We start from the raw sequence: 22,675 nt of genomic DNA, 5'->3' as shown, positions 1-22,675 counted from the left end.
AAAGAATGGCTATGCCATAGGCAGAGCAGTGTCATGGGCTGCTCAACTAAGGACACATATAGTTATTTCTTGATTATATGCTAAACAAGGGGTGGATTATTCATGAGTTTCTTGGAAAAGGGTGGGCAATTCCTGGAACTGAGGGTTCCTCCCCTTTTTAGATCATATAGGGTAATTTCTTGACGTTACCATGGCACTTGTAAACTGTCATGGTGCGGGTGGTAGTGTCTTTTAGCACGCTAATGCATTTTAATTAGCGTGTAATGAGCAGTGAGGATGACCAGAGGTCACTGTTGTCATCAACTTTGTTTTGGTGGGTTTTGGTCAGCTTCTTTACCACATGCTGTTTTATTACCTACGTCTTTGTTACCTGTATCTTGTGCCAACCTCCTATCTCATCCTGTGACTTAGAATGCCCTAACCTACTGGGAATACAGCCCAGTAGGTCTCAGCCTTATTTTACCCAGTCTCTATTCAAGATGGAGTTGCTCAGGTTCGAATGCCTCTGACAGTTTGGGTAGATATTGCCATATGAATTTCACCAGCGGGGCTGAAACTTAGATTAAGTGGTGTACTTATGATTAAGTGGTGTACTTATGGTCACAGGGCTACTAAGCAGTAAAGCAGTGGTTCTCAAAGTGTGATTCCTGGACAAGTAGCATTAGCATCACCTGGGAACTTGCTAGAAATGTCAGTTCTCAGGCTGCCTTCCAACATGAGACATACTGAATCAGAAACTTTTTGGGTCTGGGTCCAGCAGTTTGTGTTTTAAAAATTGCTCCCCATGATTGTGATGCATACACACAGTACATGTTGTGGTTTGAGAATCACTGGTGTAAAGGAAGAACTTTCACTATACTTCTTAAACAAACAAACAAACAAACAAAAAAACCTCAAACTAAAAGCATCTTACTTTGACACTATGTCTTCTTAATCCAAAATTATATTATCTTTGCCCTATCATTTTGGCTCCCTAATATTATTTAAACATAAAAAGTTTCTGAAATTGAGGCAATAATTAATAGCCTACAAACCAAAAAAAGTCCAGGACCAGACGGATTCACAGCTGAATTCTACCAGAGGTACAAAGAGGAGCTGGTACCATTCCTTCTGAAACTATTTCAATGAATAGGAAAAGAGGGAATCCTCCCTAACTCATTTTATGAGGCTAGCATCATCCTGATAACAAAGCCTGGCAGAGACACAACAAAAAAAGAGAATTTTAGGCCAATATCCCTGATGAACATCTATACGAAAATCCTCAATAAAATACTGGCAAACTGAATCCAGCAGCACATCAAAAAGCCTATCCACCATGGTCAAGTCCGCTTCATCCCTGGGATACAAGGCTGGTTCAACATATGCAAATCAATAAACGTAATCCATCACATAAACAGAACCAATGACAAAAACCACATGATTATCTCAATAGATGCAGAAAAGGCCTTTGACAAAATTTAACAGCTCTTCATGCTAAAAACTCTCAATAAACTAGGTATTGATGGAACGTATCCCAAAATAATAAGAGCTATTTATGACAAACCCAGTATGTGCCCAATATCATACTGAATGGGCAAAAACTGGAAGCATTTCCTTTGAAAACCGGCACAAGACCAGGATGCCCTCTCTCACCACTCCTATTCAACATAGTGTTGGAAGTTCTGGCTAGGGCAATCAGGCAAGAGAAAGAAATAAAGGATATTCAATTAGGAAAGGAGGAAGTCAAATTGTCTCTGTTTGCAGATGACATGATTGTATATTTAAAAAATCCCATTGTCTTAGCCCAAAATCGCCTTAAGCTGATAAGCAACTTCAGCAAAGTCTCAGGATACAAAATCATGTGCAAAAATCACAAGCATTCCTATACACCAATAATAGACAAACAGAGAGCCAAATCATGAGTGAACTCCCATCCTCAATTGCTTTAAAGAGAATAAAATACCCAGGAATCCAACTTACAAGGGATGTGACGGACCCCTTCAAGAAGAACTACAAACCACTGCTCAATGAAATAAAAGAGGACACAAATAAATGGAAGAACATTCCATGCTCATGGATAGGAAGAATCAATATCATGAAAATGGCCATACTGCCCAAAGTAATTTATAATTCAATGCTATCCCCATCAAGTGACCACTGACTTTCTTCACAGAATTGGAAAAAACTACTTTAAAGTTCATATGGAATCAAAAAGAGCCTGCATTGCCAAGACAATCCTAAGCCAAAAGAACAAAGCTGGAGGCATCACACTACCTGACTTCAAACTATACTACAAGGCTACAGTAACCAAAACAGCATGGTACTGGTACCAAAACAGAGATATAGACCAATGGAACAGAACAGAGGCCTCAGAAATAATGTCACACATCTACAACTATCTGATCTTTGAGAAACCTGAGAAAAACAAGCAATGGGGAAAGGATTCCCTATTTAATAAATGGTTCTGGGAAACTGGCTAGGCATATGTAGAAAGCTGAAACTGGATCCCTTCCTTACACCTTATACAAAAATTAACTCAAGATGGATTAAAGACTTAAATGTAAGAATAACACTGTAAAAACCTTAGAAGAAAACCTGGGCAATACCATTCAGGACATAGGCATGGGCAAAGACTTCATGACTGAAACACCAAAAGCAATGGCAACAAAAGCCAAAATAGACAAATGCAATCTAATTAAACTAAAGATCTTCTGCACAGCAAAAGAAACTATCATCAGAGTGAACAGGCAACCTACAGAATGGGAGAAAATTTTTGCAATCTACTGATCTGACAAAGGGCTAATATCCAGAATCTACAAAAACGTTAAACAAATTTACAAGAAAAAAACAAACAACCTCATCAAAAATTGGGCAAAGGATATGAACAGACACTTCCCAAAAGAAGACATTTATGCAGCCAACAGACATATGCAAAAATGCTCATCATCACTGGTCATTAGAGAAATGCAAATCAAAACCACAATGAAATACTATGTCATGCCAGTTAGAATGGTGATCATGAAAAAGGAAACAACAGATGCTGGACAGGATGTGGAGAAATAGGAACACTTTTACACTGTTTGTGGGAGTGTAAATTAGTTCAACCATTGTGGAAGACAGTGTGGCGATTCCTCAAGGATCTAGAACTAGAAATACCATTTGACCCAGCCATCCCATTACTGGGTATATACCCAAAGGATTATAAATCATGCTGCTGTAGAGACACATGCACACATATGTTTATTGTGGTACTATTCACGATAGCAAAGACTTGGAACCAACCCAAATGTCCACCAGTGATAGACTGGATAAAGAAAATGTGGCACATATACACCATGGAATACTATGCAGCCATAAAAAAGGATAAGTTCATGTCCTTTGCAGGGACATGGATGAAGCTGGAAACCATCATTCTAAGCAAACTATCACAAGGACAGAAAACCGAACATTGCATGTTCTCACTCATAGGTGGGAGTTGAAAAATGAGAACACATGGACACAGGGTGGGGAACATCACACACTGGGGCCTGTCAGGGAGTGGGAGACTGGGGGAAGGATAGCATTAGGAGAAATACCTAATGTAAATGACGAGTTGATGGATGGAGCAAACCAACATGGCACATGTATACCTATGTAACAAATCTGCACGTTGTGCACATGTACCCTAGAAGTTAAAGTATAATAAAAAATAAGTAAATAAAAATAACAAAAAGAATAGCTTTTCCTACTTGCTTGTGGTTTCCATTCACATGCAATATCTCTTTCTGTCCCTTCACTTTCTGCCTATTTGTGTCTTTATGGGTGAGGTGAGTCTCTTGTAGGCAGAATATGGTTGGGTGTTGTTTTTAATCCACTCAGTCAGTCTGTATCTTTTAAATGAAGAATTTAATCCATTTATATTCATGGTCATTATTGAGAGGTGAGGTCAATTTTACTATTTTCTGGCTGCTTTGCGTGTTCTTTGTTCCTTAGTGTCTTTTATTTATTTTTTTGCAGTTGTATAGTTTTCTGTAGTAATAAGGTTTGGTTCCTTTGTCTTTCTCCTTTGATATAGGCTCTACCAGTGAGCTTTATGGTTTTGCATGTTTTCATGATGGTAGTTTTTATCTTTTCACTTCAGATGTAAGAATCCCTTGAACATTTTTTTTTTAAGGCCTGTCTGGTGGTGATTAATTCCTTCAGTTTTTGCTTGTCTATGAAAGATTTTATTTACCTTCATTTCTGAAGAATTGCTTTGCTGGGTATAATATTCTTGGTTGACAGTTTTTTTGTTGTTTTCCTTCAGGACTTTGAATATAACATCCCATTGTCTCCTGGCCTGTAAGATTTCTGCTGAGATATTTGTTGTTAGTCTAATGAGGATTGCCTTGTATGTGACTTGATGCTTTTCTCTTCCTGCTTTTAGAATGTTTTCTTTGTCTTTGCCTTTTGACAATTTGACTATAATGTACCCCAGAGAAAAACAATTTGGGTTAAATCTACTTTGTTGGGGGGATTCTTTGAGCTACACAGACATGGATGTCCATCTCTCTCCCAAGACTTGGGAAATTTTCTGCTATTATTTTAATAATTATATTTTCCTCACCTTTGTCTTCTTTACTCCTTCTGGAACACTGATAATACAAATAGTTGTTTGCTTAATGGTATATCATATATCTTGTTGCCTTTCTTCCTTCCTTCCTTCCTTTCTTCTTTTCTTTTCTTTTCTTTCTCTTCTCATGTTATTTCACAAGACCCATCTTCAAGTTCAGAAATTCTTTTTTTCTGCTTGGTTACTGTGCCTTTGAAGCTCTAGATTGTATTTTTAATTTTATTTATTGAATTCCTCATCTCTAGGATTTCTGTTTGGTTCTTTTCAATGTTAACTATCTCTTTGTTAAATTTCTTATTCAAATAATCATTTGTTTTCCTGATTTTGTGGAATTATTTATATATATTCACTTGTATCTCACTGAATTTCTGTAAGATTATTCTTTCAAATTTTTTTTGGCATTTTATGTATTTCCTTATGATTGGGATCTGTTACTGGAGAATTACTGTCTTCCTTTGGAGGTGACATGTTTTCTTGCTTTTTTATGGTTGATGCATTCATACATGGATTTCTATGCATCTGGTGGGAAAGTTGCCTCTTCCAACTTTATGGTGTAGGTTTCATAGGGAAAACCTTATTCCTATGAATGAGGCTTGCATTGTCAGTTTGATTGGTATATGTTGGCTTTGGTTTTAGGTGGACATAGTTTTGTAGTGTCTGTGTAGTTTCTTCAGCTGTAATCCACACTAGTGGCATTTGGGAGTTTCTTAGTGGCCTAGGCTGGAAGAGTATGTGGTGATAGTGGTTTAGCTTTGCCAGGAGTAGGCTTGCTGAGCTGTTTCTCAGATTGGGGGCACATATGTGCACATCATGGGGTAGCCAACTTGGAGTCTAGCTGACTGTAGTTGGGGACATAGGGTTGTTACTCTGGCTATGAGCAACTGCCTTGGGGATGCCTGCTCAGGGGGAGCCTGCAGGGCTTTTCCTCAGGCCTGTTATATAGTTGCATGGCTGTTCAGCTGGCCTGTGAGTGTGTCTATTGGGTTTGAACCACTGGCCTGTTTATCAGTCCCAGGACACAGCTGCATGGCTGCTTAGTTGGCCTGGAAACGTGTTTGCCAGGAGTGGCTTACAAGACTATTTCTCAGGCCCAGGACATGGTCACATGACTTCTTCACTGGTCTGGGTTTGTTTCTGCTGGGGTGGCCCATGGGGCTATTCTTGGGCCTGGGATGCAGGCAAAGGACTGCTCAGCTGATCTGAGGTGTGTCTGCCATGGGTGGCCCATGGGCTGTTTTTCTTATTTTTTTATTTATTTATTTTTTTGAGACAGAGTCTCCCTCTGTCACCTAGGCTAGAGTGCAGTGGCGCAAACTCAGCTCACTGCAAACTCTGCCTCCTCGGTTCAAGTGATTTTCCTGCCTTGGCTCCCCAAGTAGCTGGGATTACAGGTGCGCACCACCACACCCAGCTAATTTTTGTATTTTTAGTAGAGACAGGGCTTCACCATGTTGGCCAGGATGTCTTGATCTCTTGACCTCGTGGTCTGCTCCCCTTGGCCTCTCAAAGTGCTGGGATTACAGGCGTGAGCCACCGCACCTCTCCAGGCTGTTATTCAAGTCCAAGGTGGGGGCTCTTGGTTGGTTGGTTGGCCTGGAGGCATGTCTGTCAGGGATGAGCTGTGGGGCTGTTTCTCAGGCCCTTACTGGGGTTTCGGGGCCATTGGAAAGGCCAGGGATGTGTCTGCAGGGGGTGCTGTGGGGCTATTTCTTAGGTCCTGAGCATGGGTATGTAGCTACTCCACTGGCCCAGGAGCATATCATCTGCTTGGACGGTCTAGGGCCTCTCCTGCTTGTGGGAGGGCGCAGCAATTGGGCTGGCTCACAAATGGATTTCCTGGGCAGTGCTGACAAACTGTTCCTTCGCCTGGAAGTGCAGGTGGTGGGGGTTGATTTTCCTGCTGTTCAGAACTAGAGTGATAGCCAATCCTGGGCCCAAGTTCTGCACAGCTAAGGTTGCAGTATTCAGCCACCTGTGTGGGCTTGGCACAATGAAGGTAAATCCTTAGAGCTGGAGAGGTGCAATGACTACTGGTTCCCCAGAGCAGGGTACACTCCAGAGGTGTGTGTAAGCTGCCGTAGTACAGCACCATCTTTTCCCAAGATGGTGCTGTACTACAGCAGCTTAGCTCACAGGAGTTGGGGGATGGAAATGTACACCTTGTGCTCCTAATCCAGGACAATGCAGCCACATGAATTCCTGGTAGCTCTCCAAACTGGACTCAGTGAGTGTAAGGACTGTTGGTTCATCCATTGTAAGGACTGTAGGCATGAAGTTTGGTGGCAGTGGAGGCTGGTGGAGATTTTTTGATTACCTTTTCTCTGTAACTGGATGTCCCTCCTGACTCTTGGCAGATCTGATCCCAGCAGGGGAGATGGGGCTGTAGAGGTCAGGTGCCTCCACACTGTCCTCCTGGATTTCTAGTTGCCACAGGTGCATCTGCACTCCCCTGCTGTACTCCAGTGCTCTCCCTTGAACACTCCTGTCAAATCTTAGCTGTTTATTCATTGCTTTGGTCCTTTCTTACTAAGACCTCCTTTTGACCCATGGATTATTTAGAAGTATGTTGTTTACTTTCCAAGTGCTAGGAGATTTTCTTCTTTATTTGTTGATTTCTAGCTTGATTCCACTATGGTCAGAGGACACACTGTATAATTTTAAATCTTTTAAATTTGTTTTTTTAATAACCCCAAATATGGTCTTGTATGCTTAAAAAATGTGAATTCTTCTGTTGTTGGATGGATTGTCTTATAAATGTTAAATTTTGTTGGTTGATGGTACATTCGTCTGCTTGGTCTGCCATAACAGAATACCACAGACTAGGTGGCTTAAACAACAGATGTTTATTTTCTCACAGTTCTGGATGCTGGAAATCCAAGATCAAAGTGCTGGCATGTTTGGTGTCTCTTGATGCCTCTTTCTTTGGCTTGCAGGTGGCTGCCTCATTTCTGTGTCCTGGATTGGGAAAAACCCTCTCCAAATGTGTTTTTTCTCTACTCTCACACCACAGCATTCATCAAAATAGAAGAAGACTTCTGAAACCAGATGTGTGTGGGTTTTTCTCCACACACCAAGCGGTGGACACCCATTCAGTCCTGACACAACCTACTCAGAGATAGTGTCAGATTCCACACATTGGGGTCTCAGTCCCCAAGACTGCCACCCATACCCACAGATACCAGTTGCAAGTCTGGGCCTCCAGAAGTTCTGGCCAATTGGCTTCAAGTTGGGGTTCTCATGACCCACTCTGAGTTTAATTAATTTGCTGAAGTGGCTCACAACTCAGGGAAACACTTTTGTTTACTAGTTTATTACAAAGGATATTACAAAGGATACAGATGAAGAGATGCATAGGGTGACATATGGTGGAAAGGTCACGGAGCTTCCCTGTCCTCCATGGGTATGCTACCCTCCAGGAACCGCCATATGTTCAGCTATCCAGAAGTTTTCTCAACCCAGGCCTCTTGGGTTTTTATGGAAGCCTTCTTTCTCCCAGGGTATAAGGTGGGACCCACACAGGGGAGGGTCTTAAGACCCACAATCAGAAAGGTAGGGGAAGATTCCAGTCCTACATTGGGACAGGTGAAAGGAAGGCAGGCAAGAAGTTCCATTTCCTGAGGCCTGCCTCTGAAGCCTAACACACCCAACATTACAACAAAAGACAGTAACAAGGGATATGGGAGTTATGAGCCAGGACCCATGGATGAAAACACATAAAAAGCCTACATACTTATATATGTTTCCTATATATCATAATGCCACACACACACACACACACACACACACACACACACACATGTTTCCTATATATCTTAATACTACGGTCCTCACATGGCCTGTTTTGTGTGCACGCACATCCCTGGTGTGTGTCTCACTCTATATATCCTAGTCTCTCCTTATAAGGACACCAATCAGATTGGATTAAGGCCCACCTTAACAGCCTCTTTTCAATTAACTCTTTAAAAAACCAATATCCAAATATAGTCACATTCTAAGGTTCTGGAGGTTAAGCCTTCAAAATACAAATTTTTGGGAAACACAATTCCATCCATAATAGATGGTTTTGTTGAATTCTTATGTAGTTTTGCTGATTTTCTGTCAATTGTTGAGCAGATGGTGCTGAAACTTTCAACTGTAACTTTATGTGAACTTGTCTTTTTCTCCTTTCAATTCCATCAGTTTTCGCATCCCATATTTTCCAGCTTCATTGTTTGTTGCATGCACATTTAAGATTGCTGTACCTTCTTGGTTCACTGACCCTTTTCTAATATATAATATCCTGCTCTGTCTATGGTAATTTTCTTTGTTTGGAAATCTACTATCTGATATTAATGTAGTCACTCCTGCTTTGATTAATGTTTGAATGATGTACAGTAATCTCTCTTTATCCATGAGTTGTTATTCATGAGCAACCATGGCCTGAAAACATTAAGATATTTTGAGAAAGAGAGAGAGAGAACACACACACACAACTTTTACTACAGTATATTGTTACGATTGCTCTATTGCATTATTAGTTAATATTGTTAATTTCTTATTGTGCCTAATTTATAAATTAAACTTTATCATAGGTATGTACGTATGTATAGGAAAAAACATAGTATATATGGGCTTCAGTACTATCCATGGTTTCAGGCATCCACTGTTGGAATGTATAACCTATGGATAAGAAGGAAGTATTATATCTTTTTCCACCCTTTTACTTTCAACCTGCCTATGTCACATATTTGTGGTATTTTTTTTTGTAGATGGCACATAGTTGGGTTAAGTTCTTTAATCCACTTTGACAATGACTGTCTTTTATTTTTAATTGGCATATATAGACCAATTTATATTTGATGTAACTATCGATATATTAGGGTTAAAATATGCCTTTTTATTTTTTGTTTTCTGTTTGTTCACTTTATTGATTTATTATCTTTATAGATTTAGGGGGTACAAGTGCAGTTTTGTTACATGGATATATTGCATAATGATGAAGTCTGGGCTTTTAGTGCAGCCATCAACAAAACAGTGTACATTGTACCCATTACATCATTTTTCATCCTTCAGCCTTCTCCCACCCTCCCACACCTCCAAGTCTCCAGTGTCTATTATTCCACTCTCCATGCCCATGTGTATACATTACTTAGCTCCCACCTATAAATGAGAACATATGGCATTTAACTTTCTGTTTCTGAGTTATTTCACTTCGGATAATGGCTTCCAGTTCCGTCATGTATAATGCCGAGATAAACATATGAGTGCCAGTATCTTTTTGATATGATGGAATATCTACCCTTCTCTTTGGGTAGATATTCACAGGAGGATTGTTGGGTTGAATATTAGTTCTGTTTTTAGTTCTTTGAGAAATCTCAATATTGTTTTTTATAGAGGGTGTATCAATTTACCTTCCCACCAACAGTGTATAAGCATTCCCTTTTCTCCACATCCTCACCAACATCTGTTATTTTTTGACGTTTTAATAAGAGCCATTCTGATTGGTGAAAGATGGTATCTCATTGTGGTTTTAATTTGCATTTCTCTGATGATTAGTGATGTTGAACATCTTTTCATATGCTTGTTGGCCATTTGTATATCTTCTTTTGAAAAATGTCTGTTCATGTCCTTTGCCTACTTTTTAATGAGATTATTGGTATTTTTTGTTGTTGTTGAGACATTTGAGTTCCTTGTAGATTCTGAATATTAGTCCTTTGTCAGATGTATAGTTTGCAAATATTTTCTCTCATTCTGAAGGTTGTTTGTTCGCTCTGTTGATAATTTATTTTGCTGTGCAGAAGCTTTTTAGTTCAAGTCCCGTTTGCCTATTTTTGTTTTTGTTGCATTTGTTTTTCAGATCTTAGTCATAAATTATTTGCCTAGGCCAATGGCCAGGTTTTCTTCTAGCATTTTCATAGTTTCAGGTCTCACAATTATGTTCACTTTATTTTTTGCTTTTCTATAATCTTTTTTCCTTGACTTCCTGTGAATTACTAGAACATATTTTTTAGAATCTCATTTTGATTTATCTATAGTGATCTTAAGTGTATCATTTTGTATAAATATTCAAATGGTTTCTCTGGGTATTACATTATATATACATTACTTATCAGAGTCTAATAGTGCCATTAGTTTACCATTTCAAGTGAAGTACAGAGACTTTACCTCTTTTACATCCCTTTACCCTCTTCTCTTTATAACTTAATTATATAAAGAATTTTCTTTATATACATTTAGAATAACATAAGATAGTGTTATAATTATTGCTTCAACAGTCAAATGTAATTTAGAAAAGTCAAGAGCAGAAGAAAAGCTGAATGAACTCACTCATATTTTTATATGCCTCATTTCTTAATTCCTTCTTATATTCCAAAATTCTTTATTTTATTGTTTATTTTCTGTTTAAAAACTTTGGTTAGCCTTCCTTTTAGGGTATATCTGCTGGCAATAGTTTCTCTTGGTTTTACTTTATCTGAGAATGTCATTATTCCTCCTTCATTCCTGAAGGATATTTTCACTGGGTATTAACAGTTATTTTCTTTCAACATTTAAAAAACATTGTGCCACTTTTTTCTAGTCTCCATGCTTTCTAATCAAAAATCTATTTTCTTAGAATTGTTTTCCCCCTATTGCTCAGGTGTAGTTTTTCTCTGACTATGTTCAAGATTTTCTTCTTTGTCTTTATATTTGGAAGTTTAATTATGATGTGTTTTGATATTGATTTGGTTGGATTTATTCTGTTTGGCCTTCCAAGAACCCATAGGTTTATGTCTCTTCCCAAATTAGGGAAGTTTTTGGCCATTATTTCTTAGAGTACTTTCTTTAGACCTGCCCTCTTTCTCTTTTCTTTTTAGGACTTCAATGACAGATTAGATCTTTTGTTACAGCCTCACAGGCCCCCAAGGCTCTATTTATTTCTTTAAAAATTCTATTTTCTCTGTTGTTAAGATTGAATAATTTCCATTGGTCTACCTTCTAGCTCAAAGATTCTTTCCTCTGTTTCTTCTGTGCTGTTATTGAGTTCATCTATTGAGTTTTTATTTTGCTTATTGTATTCTGGAATTCTAAAATTTCCATTTGGTTCTTCATTATGTCTTCTATTGCTTTGCTGATACTTTTATAGATTTGGCTAATTTTACTTTTTCATTTTTTTCAAACATCTTCGTAAATGATCATTGTAGCACTTTCATCATGGCTGCTTTAAAATCTTTGTCAGAAAAGTCTAGCATCTCTACCATGTCAGTTTTGGCATTTATTGATTGTCTTTTATTAAACTCAGTTTGAGATTTTCCTGGTTCTTGGTGTGGTGAGTGATTTTTTTTTTTTAACTGAGATCTGGATAGTTTTGTGTTATGTTGTGAGACTAGATATTACTCAAACCTTCAGTTTTAATTGGCTTTCTCTGTAGCACACTGCCATAATTGGTGGGGAGTGTTACCTCATTATTGTCAGGTGGAGGTAGAAGTACAGATTCCCATTTGGCCTTTGTTGACATCTAAAGTAGGGAAGTTCCTTGTTATTGCTGGCTGGGCGGGGAGGTCCAGCTCCCCACATAATCCCCACTGACACCATTGGAAGGGACCCTGTAACTGGCTGGAAGAGATGTAAATGCTGTCTCCATACTTGGCTTTCTTTAATGTTACCTTAGCAGAGTATTGGGTATTTCACCATAGCCTCATAAGGGTGGAAATCTGGGCTCTCCACTTGACCTTTTCTGGCACAGACATGGTGGGGCCACCATTTTTCCTGTGGTGTTTGGCTGGAGTAATACGATTATTGTCTAAATTTTTTTTTTTTTTTTTTTTTGCTGGGCTTTCTCTTTCTTGATCCTTTGGCTAGAGGGTGGAGGATTTGTTGGAGCTCTTTTTGTCTGTACCTGTTTTCATTTCTGGGTTACCAGCTTCTTACAGCTCCAAGTCTGGTATACAGGAGGTTAAAAAGAAAACCAGGTAACTCACCACTGTGTTTCCTCACATCATGAAGTCCCTAGGTGGTCTGCCTTCTCTCCTCCATTTTTTCTTATGTTTATTTTACGTATATGGTACAGGTCTTTTAGTTGTACTTAGTGGGAGAAACAGGGAAAGTACATCTACTCAAAGTTCCTGAAAGGAGAAGTCATCTAACTATGTTTCTTAATACAGTTCTTTTCCTAAAAGAGAGAAGTAGGTTTTTATTTTCAGATACAATGTATTTTTTAAAGAAAGTATGCCTAAATGGAAGTGTATTCCATGTAATGTTCCCAGTGCTTTGACTGTAATATTTGTGCAACGTAAGTATGTCAGGATTTTAAAAGTTGCCTTGTTGATCTGGTTGCGATTTAAAAGTCGACATTTTGCCTTGGTTCTCGGATTTCCTTTTTATGCCTATAAAGCATTTACATCATTTAGTCAGTTAGCCAGGAGTACCTATTGCCAATAGGCCTCCAATCTCAAGTAATTCTGGGTGGGAAGTATCCAGGAAGATGTTTAGATTTGTTCATGGAAAATAGATAAGCTTTCCGATCAACTGATATAGAGTCGGATAATAGAACAGCTGGGACTTCTGTTGGGCCTTGAGTGATTGGTAAAATTTAATTAGTAGTGGAAGAAAGGGAAGACTGTTATGTTCCAGAAGGTTGCTTAAGCAAACAAACTTTTTGAGTGATAATTAGGTGACAGGACTATCTGAAGTGACGGGAACGTTCTGGAGTGCCCTGTGAAGAACTCATTAAACAAACTAGAAGTTCAGTAGAGACCTTAATAGCTCAGCCATCAAGCCTTAGGCTTTCATAAGGACCACTTCAATGTGGTATAGTGAAACACGGAAATACTAATCTGTTCACCTAATAGAGCAAGAAGCATCACCCAGAGAAATGATAGAAGCACCAAGGGTTCCTGAGCGCTTGTGCTTCAGGCTATTCAGAGAATGGCTCTTTACTTTCTCCAGTGATGTTCAGTGGTGAGCAAGAGATATTTAATGCCAAGAAGTTTTTGCGACCCAGTCTGACAAAGTTAGTTTATATATCTCCTTTTTTAATCACTAAATTTTCTACATGTAGAGTTGTATTCTCAGTTTACTCCTTAGCAGTGATCCAAGACCTCAGGGCATGTGTGTTAGTATGTTAACTTTATCCATGTCTTCCCTTTCTATGCTACCATGATTATCCCTTCATTTTGGTTTTATTGTCATTGTTTTTATCCTTTTGCTTTATATACATTTCCATAATTATTTAAATAAATTTTGAATATGGTAGGATACCTGTGTCTAATGTCTAATGGTGTGCTGGTAAATATTAATCACACTAAAAAGATATCTATATATTTGTATCTATATCTATATACCTATACGTATAGTCTTAGTTCATTTCATGCTGCTATAACAGAATACCTGAGACTAGGTAATTTATAATGAATGAAAATTTATTGGCTCATAGTTCTGGAGTCTGGGATGTCCAACATCCTGGCTCTAGCATCTGGTGAGGACCTTCTTGCTGTGTCATCCCATGACAGAAGGCAGTAGGGCAAGACAGAGCAAGAGAGAGAGAGAGAGCAACAAGGGCCCAAACTTGTCCTTTTATAAGGAAACCACTCCCACAGTAACAAACCCACTCTCATGATAACAACATTAAGCAATTAGTGAAGGCAGAACCCTCATGGCTTAGTCATCTCTTAAAGGTCCCACTTCTTAACACTGTTGCATTGGAAATTAAGTTTCCAACACATGCTTTTTGCGGGACACATTCAAACTATGGCGTATACACACACACACACACACACACACACAAACACACATATATATGTATGTTTATATATATGCTATATATACAGACTGTATATGTAGGTGTGTGTTATATACATACATGTATCTATATGCTTTATTATAAATATTAGATATACAGATGTGTAGCACACATTTATAAATAATAACATATACAATACATTTTATTGTAAATTCCATATATCCAATTGATTCTTAAAGAATGCTTTTGCTGATTTTTGGTGAACTCTTGTGTCTTTAGCCAACTTACGATTGCAACTGCTACCTGAGAAATGAAATTTCTTTCCAATCTGCTAACTCTTTTCCTAGTACAATCTATCATCACTACATTTGTTATGTGTCTTATAATTAAACTATTTCTCATCCTTATACAAATTACATTTATTAAGTAAAAATCTCTTTCAGCTTCAGGACTATGTAGGAATGTCACTTATTTAATGATGAGTGACTTCTTTGCTGAGCCAAATAATGATTTTCAAATTGAGGAAAAATTTTTAAACAGATATTTTGTGTTATTTAGAATGCATGGCTACAGATATATACATTTTTAAGTTTATCTTCATTATTAACATTTTATCCATCTCTTTCTTAAGCCCAGGCAATCAAAAAGATAAATAAAACCCTGGTTTTTAGCTTTTGTTGATTTCCATAGTATTAATACTCATACCATGTCTGATTTCAAGTTACTAACATGATGTTACTGAAAGAGGAACTGGGAAGAGGAGTACAGCAGCACACAATTTTATAGTATTTTCATCATACAGATAAAATGCGTGTCTATAACATCGATAGCATAGATGATTGTAAAATATAGTAAAATAAGTAGTGAGAATTTTGAGTATTATCTTTCCATTTTGATATAATGCATTTCATTTTAAGCTTATATAATTTAATTTTTAAAATGGCTGTGTTTAACATGAGCTCGCAAATCTCTTGACACTTTAACAAGTGGTTCTTAGACAGCCTGAGTGAGCCAGCTGCTGCATCACACCACTGCTAATGTCACTGTCAGAGCCAGAGTATTGGGTTAATTTTGGTTTATAAGGGCATTTCAATTTTCTCAAGCCAAATTGTCAAGAATAAAAAAGACTTTAGGTTTTTCCATGTTGAGGTTTATTTACCTCTTCCTTTATACTCTCATAGAGGGTAGCACTGGGTGTATTTAGTTTCTTATTCCCCTCTACTTCCTTCTTATATTTTACGCCTTTTATTTTTTGTAAATAATTTTCCTGAAGTAATAAGCTATACATAGGCAAGCGAACGCTGTAATGGTGACTCCAGTAGCAAAAGACAATGGTGGTGTCAGAGAAGAGTCCTTGGTCCCAGAACTCTCCCAGGGAATGAAAGCCTTCTTATCCCTGCAACCCCTGATTGGAGTTAGGATGGCCTGTTAGGTCTTGTGAAATGTAAAGTCTCAGGAGGGTGGCAACATGTTTCTCCGGTTGATGGGTTGTTTCTTCTGATATCTTGCAATGCCAAGGCTTTGGCTGTCCACTCCATGCGAGACTTCAATTGAGTTTTCTGAGGCTCTCCCCTTGGAAATGCTTGGCATATTAGGTAGAAACTGCTGATCTGGACCACTTTCTTTTGCCGTATCTATAGTTTGAAGTCACTTCCTGAGAGGAAGAGGCCACTCTTACCAGTAGCCCTTGCCTCTTGCCTTCTTAGCAGGCATAGACTCCCCTGGCTACTCTTACAGTTGCAAGACAACCTCTTCTCCTATTGCTAGTGGTGACATCTGTGAATGACCTCATGGAGCTCAACCTGAGGTTTTCTTTTTATGTGATTACGTGACTTTTATTCCGTCAGCAAAATCTGTTGATCTGATCCAATGTGAAGGGCAAAGAAGGTTACCAAGAGTGAATTGGGAAATACAAAATACAATTAGGAATGATATAGAAGGGATATGTAAAAATGATTTTTTGACTAAGAAACAAAAACTGGCACTATAAACTCTTTTTCTTTAGGCTGTGTTGAATTTATGGCAATTAAGCGAAATTAAAGTACTTTACTGTTTTTGAAACTTAAATGACAAGAAAACAGCCTCAGGAGTCTTTTTTGGTCCTTTTTGATCTTAGAAAGAAACACAATTTAGATACAGAAAAAAAATAGGCCTAATTAAGAGAATTCACAAACTATTTTTTTCTTTCATTCACATGAGATGTCAGTGTGTCTAGAAAAGCAGTTTGATGTGTTTTCTCTTGCCTATTCCCATGGATGTTATCCCATACTCTTAGAACTTAACACTTTTCTCCTATAGCCCTGAGGTCTAGTTTCAGCTCTATTGTCTCAGAGCCAAAAGCAATACATACTGAAAAAGGAGCAAACAATTGCTTTTATTTAGAGTGCTGAGTCAGGGACAGCAGCTGATGTAAAACTAGAAGTGAGGGCTAGCAAGATCAAGGGAAGCCTGCGAACCACGTCCCAGATAAAGTCACATAGATAATTCAGAATGAGGAATGGATGAAGAAGATGGCAAACAATTTGCCAAGCCACAGAAACAATCCTCACAAAGAGAGAATGTATTAACAAGAAAGGGTCTTCTATAGGGCCTGCCTTGGACGAAAGGCCATCTGTTTAGATGTTCTAATGATTGTGTGCCTCGTGAGATGGCCAGTGCCAGGACAACAGTGGGGAAGCTGTGTCTTTTCCTAAGCTCTGGCAGTCTTGACAAACAGAACTCAGTTACAGCAGAACCTTTTAGGAAATGGTTCAATATTATCAACATTATGACATTTTCTAATCTGTGGCTGTCAATTTGGGGGTTTGCAAAGTACTTGGTGGGATCACATTATTAAAGACAAGAATGCCCCGTTTTAAAGTCAATACATAAGCCATTATTTTTTTTTTTCCTCTTCAAAACAAGTCAGTATGAAGGATGCTGAGATGGACCTAGTGAACATGTGAGCGAGCCTGTTAAGACGCTGCTTGTGATTTTATCACTCAGCTAATTTATTTCTCAGCCAAACACCTCTTTCCCTTGTGGTAGTATAATTACAAATAATTTTTATTCTTGCTCACATATTTTAAAATTTGTACCCATCATAAATTGTTGGTTAAATATGAGATCATAATGAACATTGATGCTGAAACGTGGGTATAATTGTGTAGGTTAATCTCAAGATAATCTTCACTAAAGATCAAGATGATAAACTGTTTAACTTTCAATTATTTAATGGAAATTCTTTTATGTTTTCAGTTCTTAACTAATGTTTACAGAGGAACTGTTATGATGATTTTATCCACTTTACTGGGAACAAAGATGATATATCAGCAATACATTATTTGTGGAGAGGGTTTACAAGTAAAAATCTAAAGCCTTTTTTTCAATTAGTTTAGAACTAAAATGCAAAAGTTATGAAGAAGTCTATTTTATTGTCATAATATTTAGTTAAATTTCAGTCTACATTTACATATACATTTATAACTTTTGCACCTACATATATATTTTCATGTATAAAATTATATAATATATATTCTATGGTCTCCAAACTGTACATACGCCATTGTAACCTTTTTTGTAAACTGTTTTATATTACAAAATTAATGTAATGGAACTTAGGTGGAACTTTTCATATATTATGGCTATTATTAATGATAATAGGGCTTTTATAACACAGTCAATATTATTCCAGTTTAAAATAAAAGTGAGTCTTTATTTAAAGTGATTTTTTAAAAATAATATACCACTCAGTAGTTTACAAAAATGTCTTGCGAGGGTTTTGGAAGGTTTATTTCTGTGGAAGGAGTTCCTCGTAAGTTATATCATGTTGGAAATTCTGAGATGCAATATTGAAGCCGAAGGAATCCTTTAAGAACATCTGGGCAGTCCCCTGAGTTTCATAGGTGAGGAATAATGCAGCTGAAACTTCAGGCATTTGTACATGACACAGACCAAATGTTGTGCCTGGGACACTGCCATGCACTGTGAAAGTCTGAGATAATGTGACTTGTTAATAGCACAGATGGCATTCGCAAAATCTTGCCTTCTGTGTTTTTCTCTTCTACAAACAGCATGGGACAAAATTCATTGTTTTTCTAAGAAACACTGAGGAGGAAGCATCAACAAAATTAAATATTCTGGCTTGAAAAACAGGGGCCCACCTCTTTGTTAGTGGATGCGATCCTGCAAACAATGAATGGAGAGCCAACTTATTGTCAAGTGGCAAAGGCATACATTATTTGAAGACAATTTAAAAAAATGAATATATTAAAAAATTGGTAAGTGTAAATATCAAGTAAGGAAAGGTTAGTTTGAACTTTTACTCTGTAGTTTCTACATATTGCATTTGCTTTTGGGATAAGTATTTTCCTCATTCATTTCACTCTAATCTAATGGAATAGAACCTGGGTATCCTCCACCCCTCTAGCCTGTGGGCACTTGTGGAATTATATTAAAATTATATCTCCAGCAACTATGGAGACTTTAGGAGTCCCTACGTGTTGTCTATGGGCTCACGTGCAGTTTTCTTTATTTTACTTCCTGCCGATATCCCCTGCCCATTGGCTACTAGTGGGAAATATGTGGTGGCCACTGTTACAGGGGCTCTAGGGAGAGAGCTGCTTCCAGGCCTGGAAACTGCCCTGGTGGAGCCCATAAGTACCCACTGTTGTTCCTCCTGGGTCATCTCCAGTGCCCAAAGCAACACTGTGTTTTCCTGTAAATATATCCTCACTCCCCAGCTGGATGGATTTGGTCCCTTGGGTCCTGGAGTAATCCTGATTGATCCTGAGAGATAAATTCCACTGGAAACAGTGTTTTTGGCTTCTGTCTGCAGCCTCCTTGAGGATAGGGCTGACCTGTCCTCCAGGCCTGGGCTGGGATAAACAAACACACTAAGCTGTCCTCTCCAGGGGCCATTTCTCCTGCCTTCCTCCAAGATACCACAATTAAACTTCCTGCCTCCTTTCTGGACCTCTTTTTGTTTATTTACATCCACTCCTAAAGGCCACACTTCTTAATCAGATTGTACTGGGGATTCAGTTTCCACATGAATTTTGGTGGGGACACCATGATTCAAACCATAGCAAGGTGCTTAGGTTTAAAGTGTTCTCAACACACCCAGACTTTCTTGAGATCGCACAATTATTGTTCAGCTGTGTTACTCTAAAGAAAGTTTGAGGCTGGGCACGGTGGCTCACGCCTGTAATCCCAGCACTTTGGGAGGCCGAGGCGGACAGATCACGAGGTCAGCAGATCGAGACCATCTTGGCTAACACAGTGAAACCCCGTCTCTACTAAAAATACAAAAAATTAGCCGGGCTTGGTGGCGGGCGCCTGTAGTCCCAGCTACTCGGAAGGCTGAGGCAGGAGAATGGCGTGAACCCAGGAGGCGGAGCTTGCAGTGAGCCGAGATCGCGCCACAGCACTCCAGCCTGGGCTACAAAGTGAGACTCCGTCTCAAAAAAAAAAAAAAAGAAAGAAAGTTTGAAACACAGAAGTTGTATTTTACAGGTGAAAAAGTATTTTCTGCTGCAGTAAAGATCACTATCTCTGGAAAGTTTTGACCGCAGTGTTTTGAGTCATTAGTTCTGTTGCCTGGGCAACTTAGCAAATGTACCAACTCCATAGTATGTGGGTGGCCATTTACTTTTGTTTCCTGCTTCTGAAAAGGTCTTTGAGGATGTGGATCAGGATGCTAGAGTAAGTATTTTAAAGTAGAGAAGTTCTTTCATGTGGTAACTCCAGAAGTTTGTAGGATGACTAGGATCCCCTCTCACTGGTCCCATCTGTGTTAAAGGAATTGAGAATTGCCTCCTTTGGATCTGAGTACATTGGATGACTCAGACTGAAGATCAAGAATTTGCCTTACAAGTATTTCTTTTATGATGATATAAATGTTACTCCTGATCCCCGGCTATTGGGAATGAAAGTGGATGAGGTGCTGGTGATTGTGCATTTCGGAGTCACATGACTATGACGGAAACTTTTTCTATCTGTGACAGAGGATGGCACAGTGCATTTCCTTAGGAAGCTTCCTTTCATTTCCCTAAGAAAGTTGGGGGGAAAAGTAGGGTGGGAAGGATTTCTACTTTATTAGTTTGGCTCGATCAGAGAAGCAGAGCCACAGTGAATGATCTGAAATAAGGGGAGTATGATACGGATCCTCCATAACTGTGGGATCTGATAAAGAATTCTATGGGATGCTGTGGTCTCTGCACCTGGTGTGGGCTTGAAGTTGCTGTGGATGGATAGGATGGGCTGTCAGGAAGGAAAGCCAGATGTTAAGTGGGAAAGAGCAAAACCCACCTGGAACCCATGAGGTTAAATTAAACCCCTCCAGGACAAACTGGCTTGGACTTGAGGAAGCTGAAGGGAGCTGTCTGGTGGGAATGAGAGTAGCTACAAGCCTGGAGGGTCCCGTGTCAACAAAATGAGCCCACAGATCAGTCACAACATCCAGGAGCTGCAACCATGCCTCATGCCCTTGACATACCTTCAGTGTGCAATGGCTGCTACTTCGTTCTGCTTTCCAAAACTTATGAACATTTCTCTTGTTGTCAATCCTAGCCTCGCCCCATGCAGGGAAGGAAATTCTGAGAGATGTAGTCCAGCTTATCTAAGAGGGCACAGGACAAAGCCACCAACCACATCTTCATAGGAGCCCTTTTTCCCCTAGTCCTTTAGATGAAGCCCCAGAGCTGGGTTACTCTCCCATGTTTCCCAGTGAATTCTTCTGTGCCCCTACTGAAAGAAAGAAGAGCATCATCTTCTATTTCAGTTGATGTTTAGCACTAGAATGTATAGATCAATGATATTTTGTGGCTCTTCTCACTATTCCAACAACCCTGAGAGGTAAGCATTGTATCATCTACACTTTACAGTGAAGAGTACTGGAGTGTTTATTCACCAGGGAAGCTAAGTTTGGGAAAAAAGCAAGATCAATAACTATCACAAAAAAGCGTAGTTTGGCTTTTAGGTCAGTAGCGATAAGTTGATAGTCACGTGTAAAGTCTGAAGGAAATTACTGCAATTGGGCAGTGTTGCTTGGAGCCACCCTTTCTTGGATAGAGGTGCTTGAATGAGCTTCCTTGGAACTGGCTATCAGCTATGATGTTCACTGGCTTCTCAGTGAGCACATGAGTGCTTTCCGGGTGAGGATGGACTTCTGGCCATACTCATTTTGTTGTCAAGTTCATCTGAGAAATCGAAAAATTGTTCTGGCAGCCTCAGCTTTCCTTTTTGTCTTTTCACCACTTCAAGAGCATTCCTAGTGTTTTAAAATATGAGGTTATGCTCATTTCAATCATAACTTGAAACAAAAACGTTGACATTTTTCAATGCATTTATAAAATCTTCACCTTCTGGAATCTCTCTCTTCTTGCTGATGAGAACCATCTGATTCTGGAAGCATCAGTTGACAGAAAATTTTCTGGCAGCAAAAAGCTCAATAGTCTATTGGGCACTTAGAAGTCGATTTCACAGAGTAGCCATTTTTTTTTTTCTTTTTGGGATGTTTATCACTTGAAATGCCAGCACTTTGCTTAGTCATAGTAGTAGTTTGAAAGCTTACCTCTAGGAAAAAAGGCTTGGGGGAACAGAAAGAAACCGCTTTAGTTTTAGAAAAATGTCTACAAATATAAAAATGATGACCAAGGGAAATTAACCCAACAACCATCCAGGATACTTGGAATAAAGATTCTTGGATCTTTCTCTTCCTTTTTTTTAGCTCTTTATCAGTTCGGCTGGGCACCATCACTGTATTCTGAGAATTCGTAGGTGAGTAATCTATGTTTTCTGTTCCAAAGGGATTTTCAGTCTCATAGAAAAAGGCAGGAATGTAAACAAATTAAGTATTCAGAGTATTACTAAAAAGTTTTCCAGGCAGTTTTGGGGTCACGAAAGTGAAGAAAAAATTTTATAGAGAAAGCCACTCTCCAGCAAGACTCAAATGTTGAACTAATATTTCCTAAGCCAAAGTTCCCCAATCTCGGTGACAAGCTACATGGATTAGAGGTGTGTTAAATTATTGAATTCCTCAGCTTTGGGCTCTTGGAGCTCCTCTTTATATTCTGGCCTGCTGTATAAGTATTATTTTAAAATGCATGCCATGACATAAAAAAATTGGTGATCACTGCTAAGCGAAAACATGGGGTGGGGAAAGAACAAAGGGAAGGCTCAGAGCAAAGAAACTGAGGTGTGAGCTATTTCCATATTTGTAGGCACATAAAGGGTTTGGAACAGGGGAGGGACATGCTCAGATTTGTATTTAGAAAGTTCGCTCTTCTCAAAGTATGTATGTTGGATTGGAATATAAATGTACCTCAAAGATATTGCAGGTTTCTATTTTAGACAACCACAGTCAAACAAATATTGCAAAAAAGTGATTCACACACATTTAAAAGTGAATATAAAAGTTATGTTTATGC

General features: G+C 38.7%; 1 long non-coding RNA gene across 1 annotated transcript in view, besides 1 other annotated feature; it reads left to right on the top strand.

Moving 5' to 3' along the window:
• LOC105372926 (uncharacterized) overlaps nucleotides 1-22,675 on the top strand; it is a 198,874-nt gene that overhangs the window by 153,357 nt on the left and 22,842 nt on the right. The gene's annotated exons all lie outside the window — the stretch shown is intronic.
• Nucleotides 19,580-20,779: an enhancer, noted in NCBI's record as "P300/CBP strongly-dependent group 1 enhancer chr1:219883505-219884704 (GRCh37/hg19 assembly coordinates)". NCBI's record gives its function as "activates an origin of replication core promoter dependent on BRD2, BRD4, P300/CBP, MED14 and CDK7 cofactors, with strong dependence on P300/CBP, by STARR-seq in HCT116 cells {active_cell/tissue: HCT116}" and the evidence as "EXISTENCE:reporter gene assay evidence [ECO:0000049][PMID:35650434]".

Source organism: Homo sapiens, chromosome 1, assembly GCF_000001405.40.
Source record: "Homo sapiens chromosome 1, GRCh38.p14 Primary Assembly".
NCBI classification, from domain to species: domain Eukaryota; kingdom Metazoa; phylum Chordata; class Mammalia; order Primates; family Hominidae; genus Homo; species Homo sapiens.
Note: the sequence above shows the minus strand (reverse complement) of the source record. Positions and strands in the feature narration are given on the sequence as shown.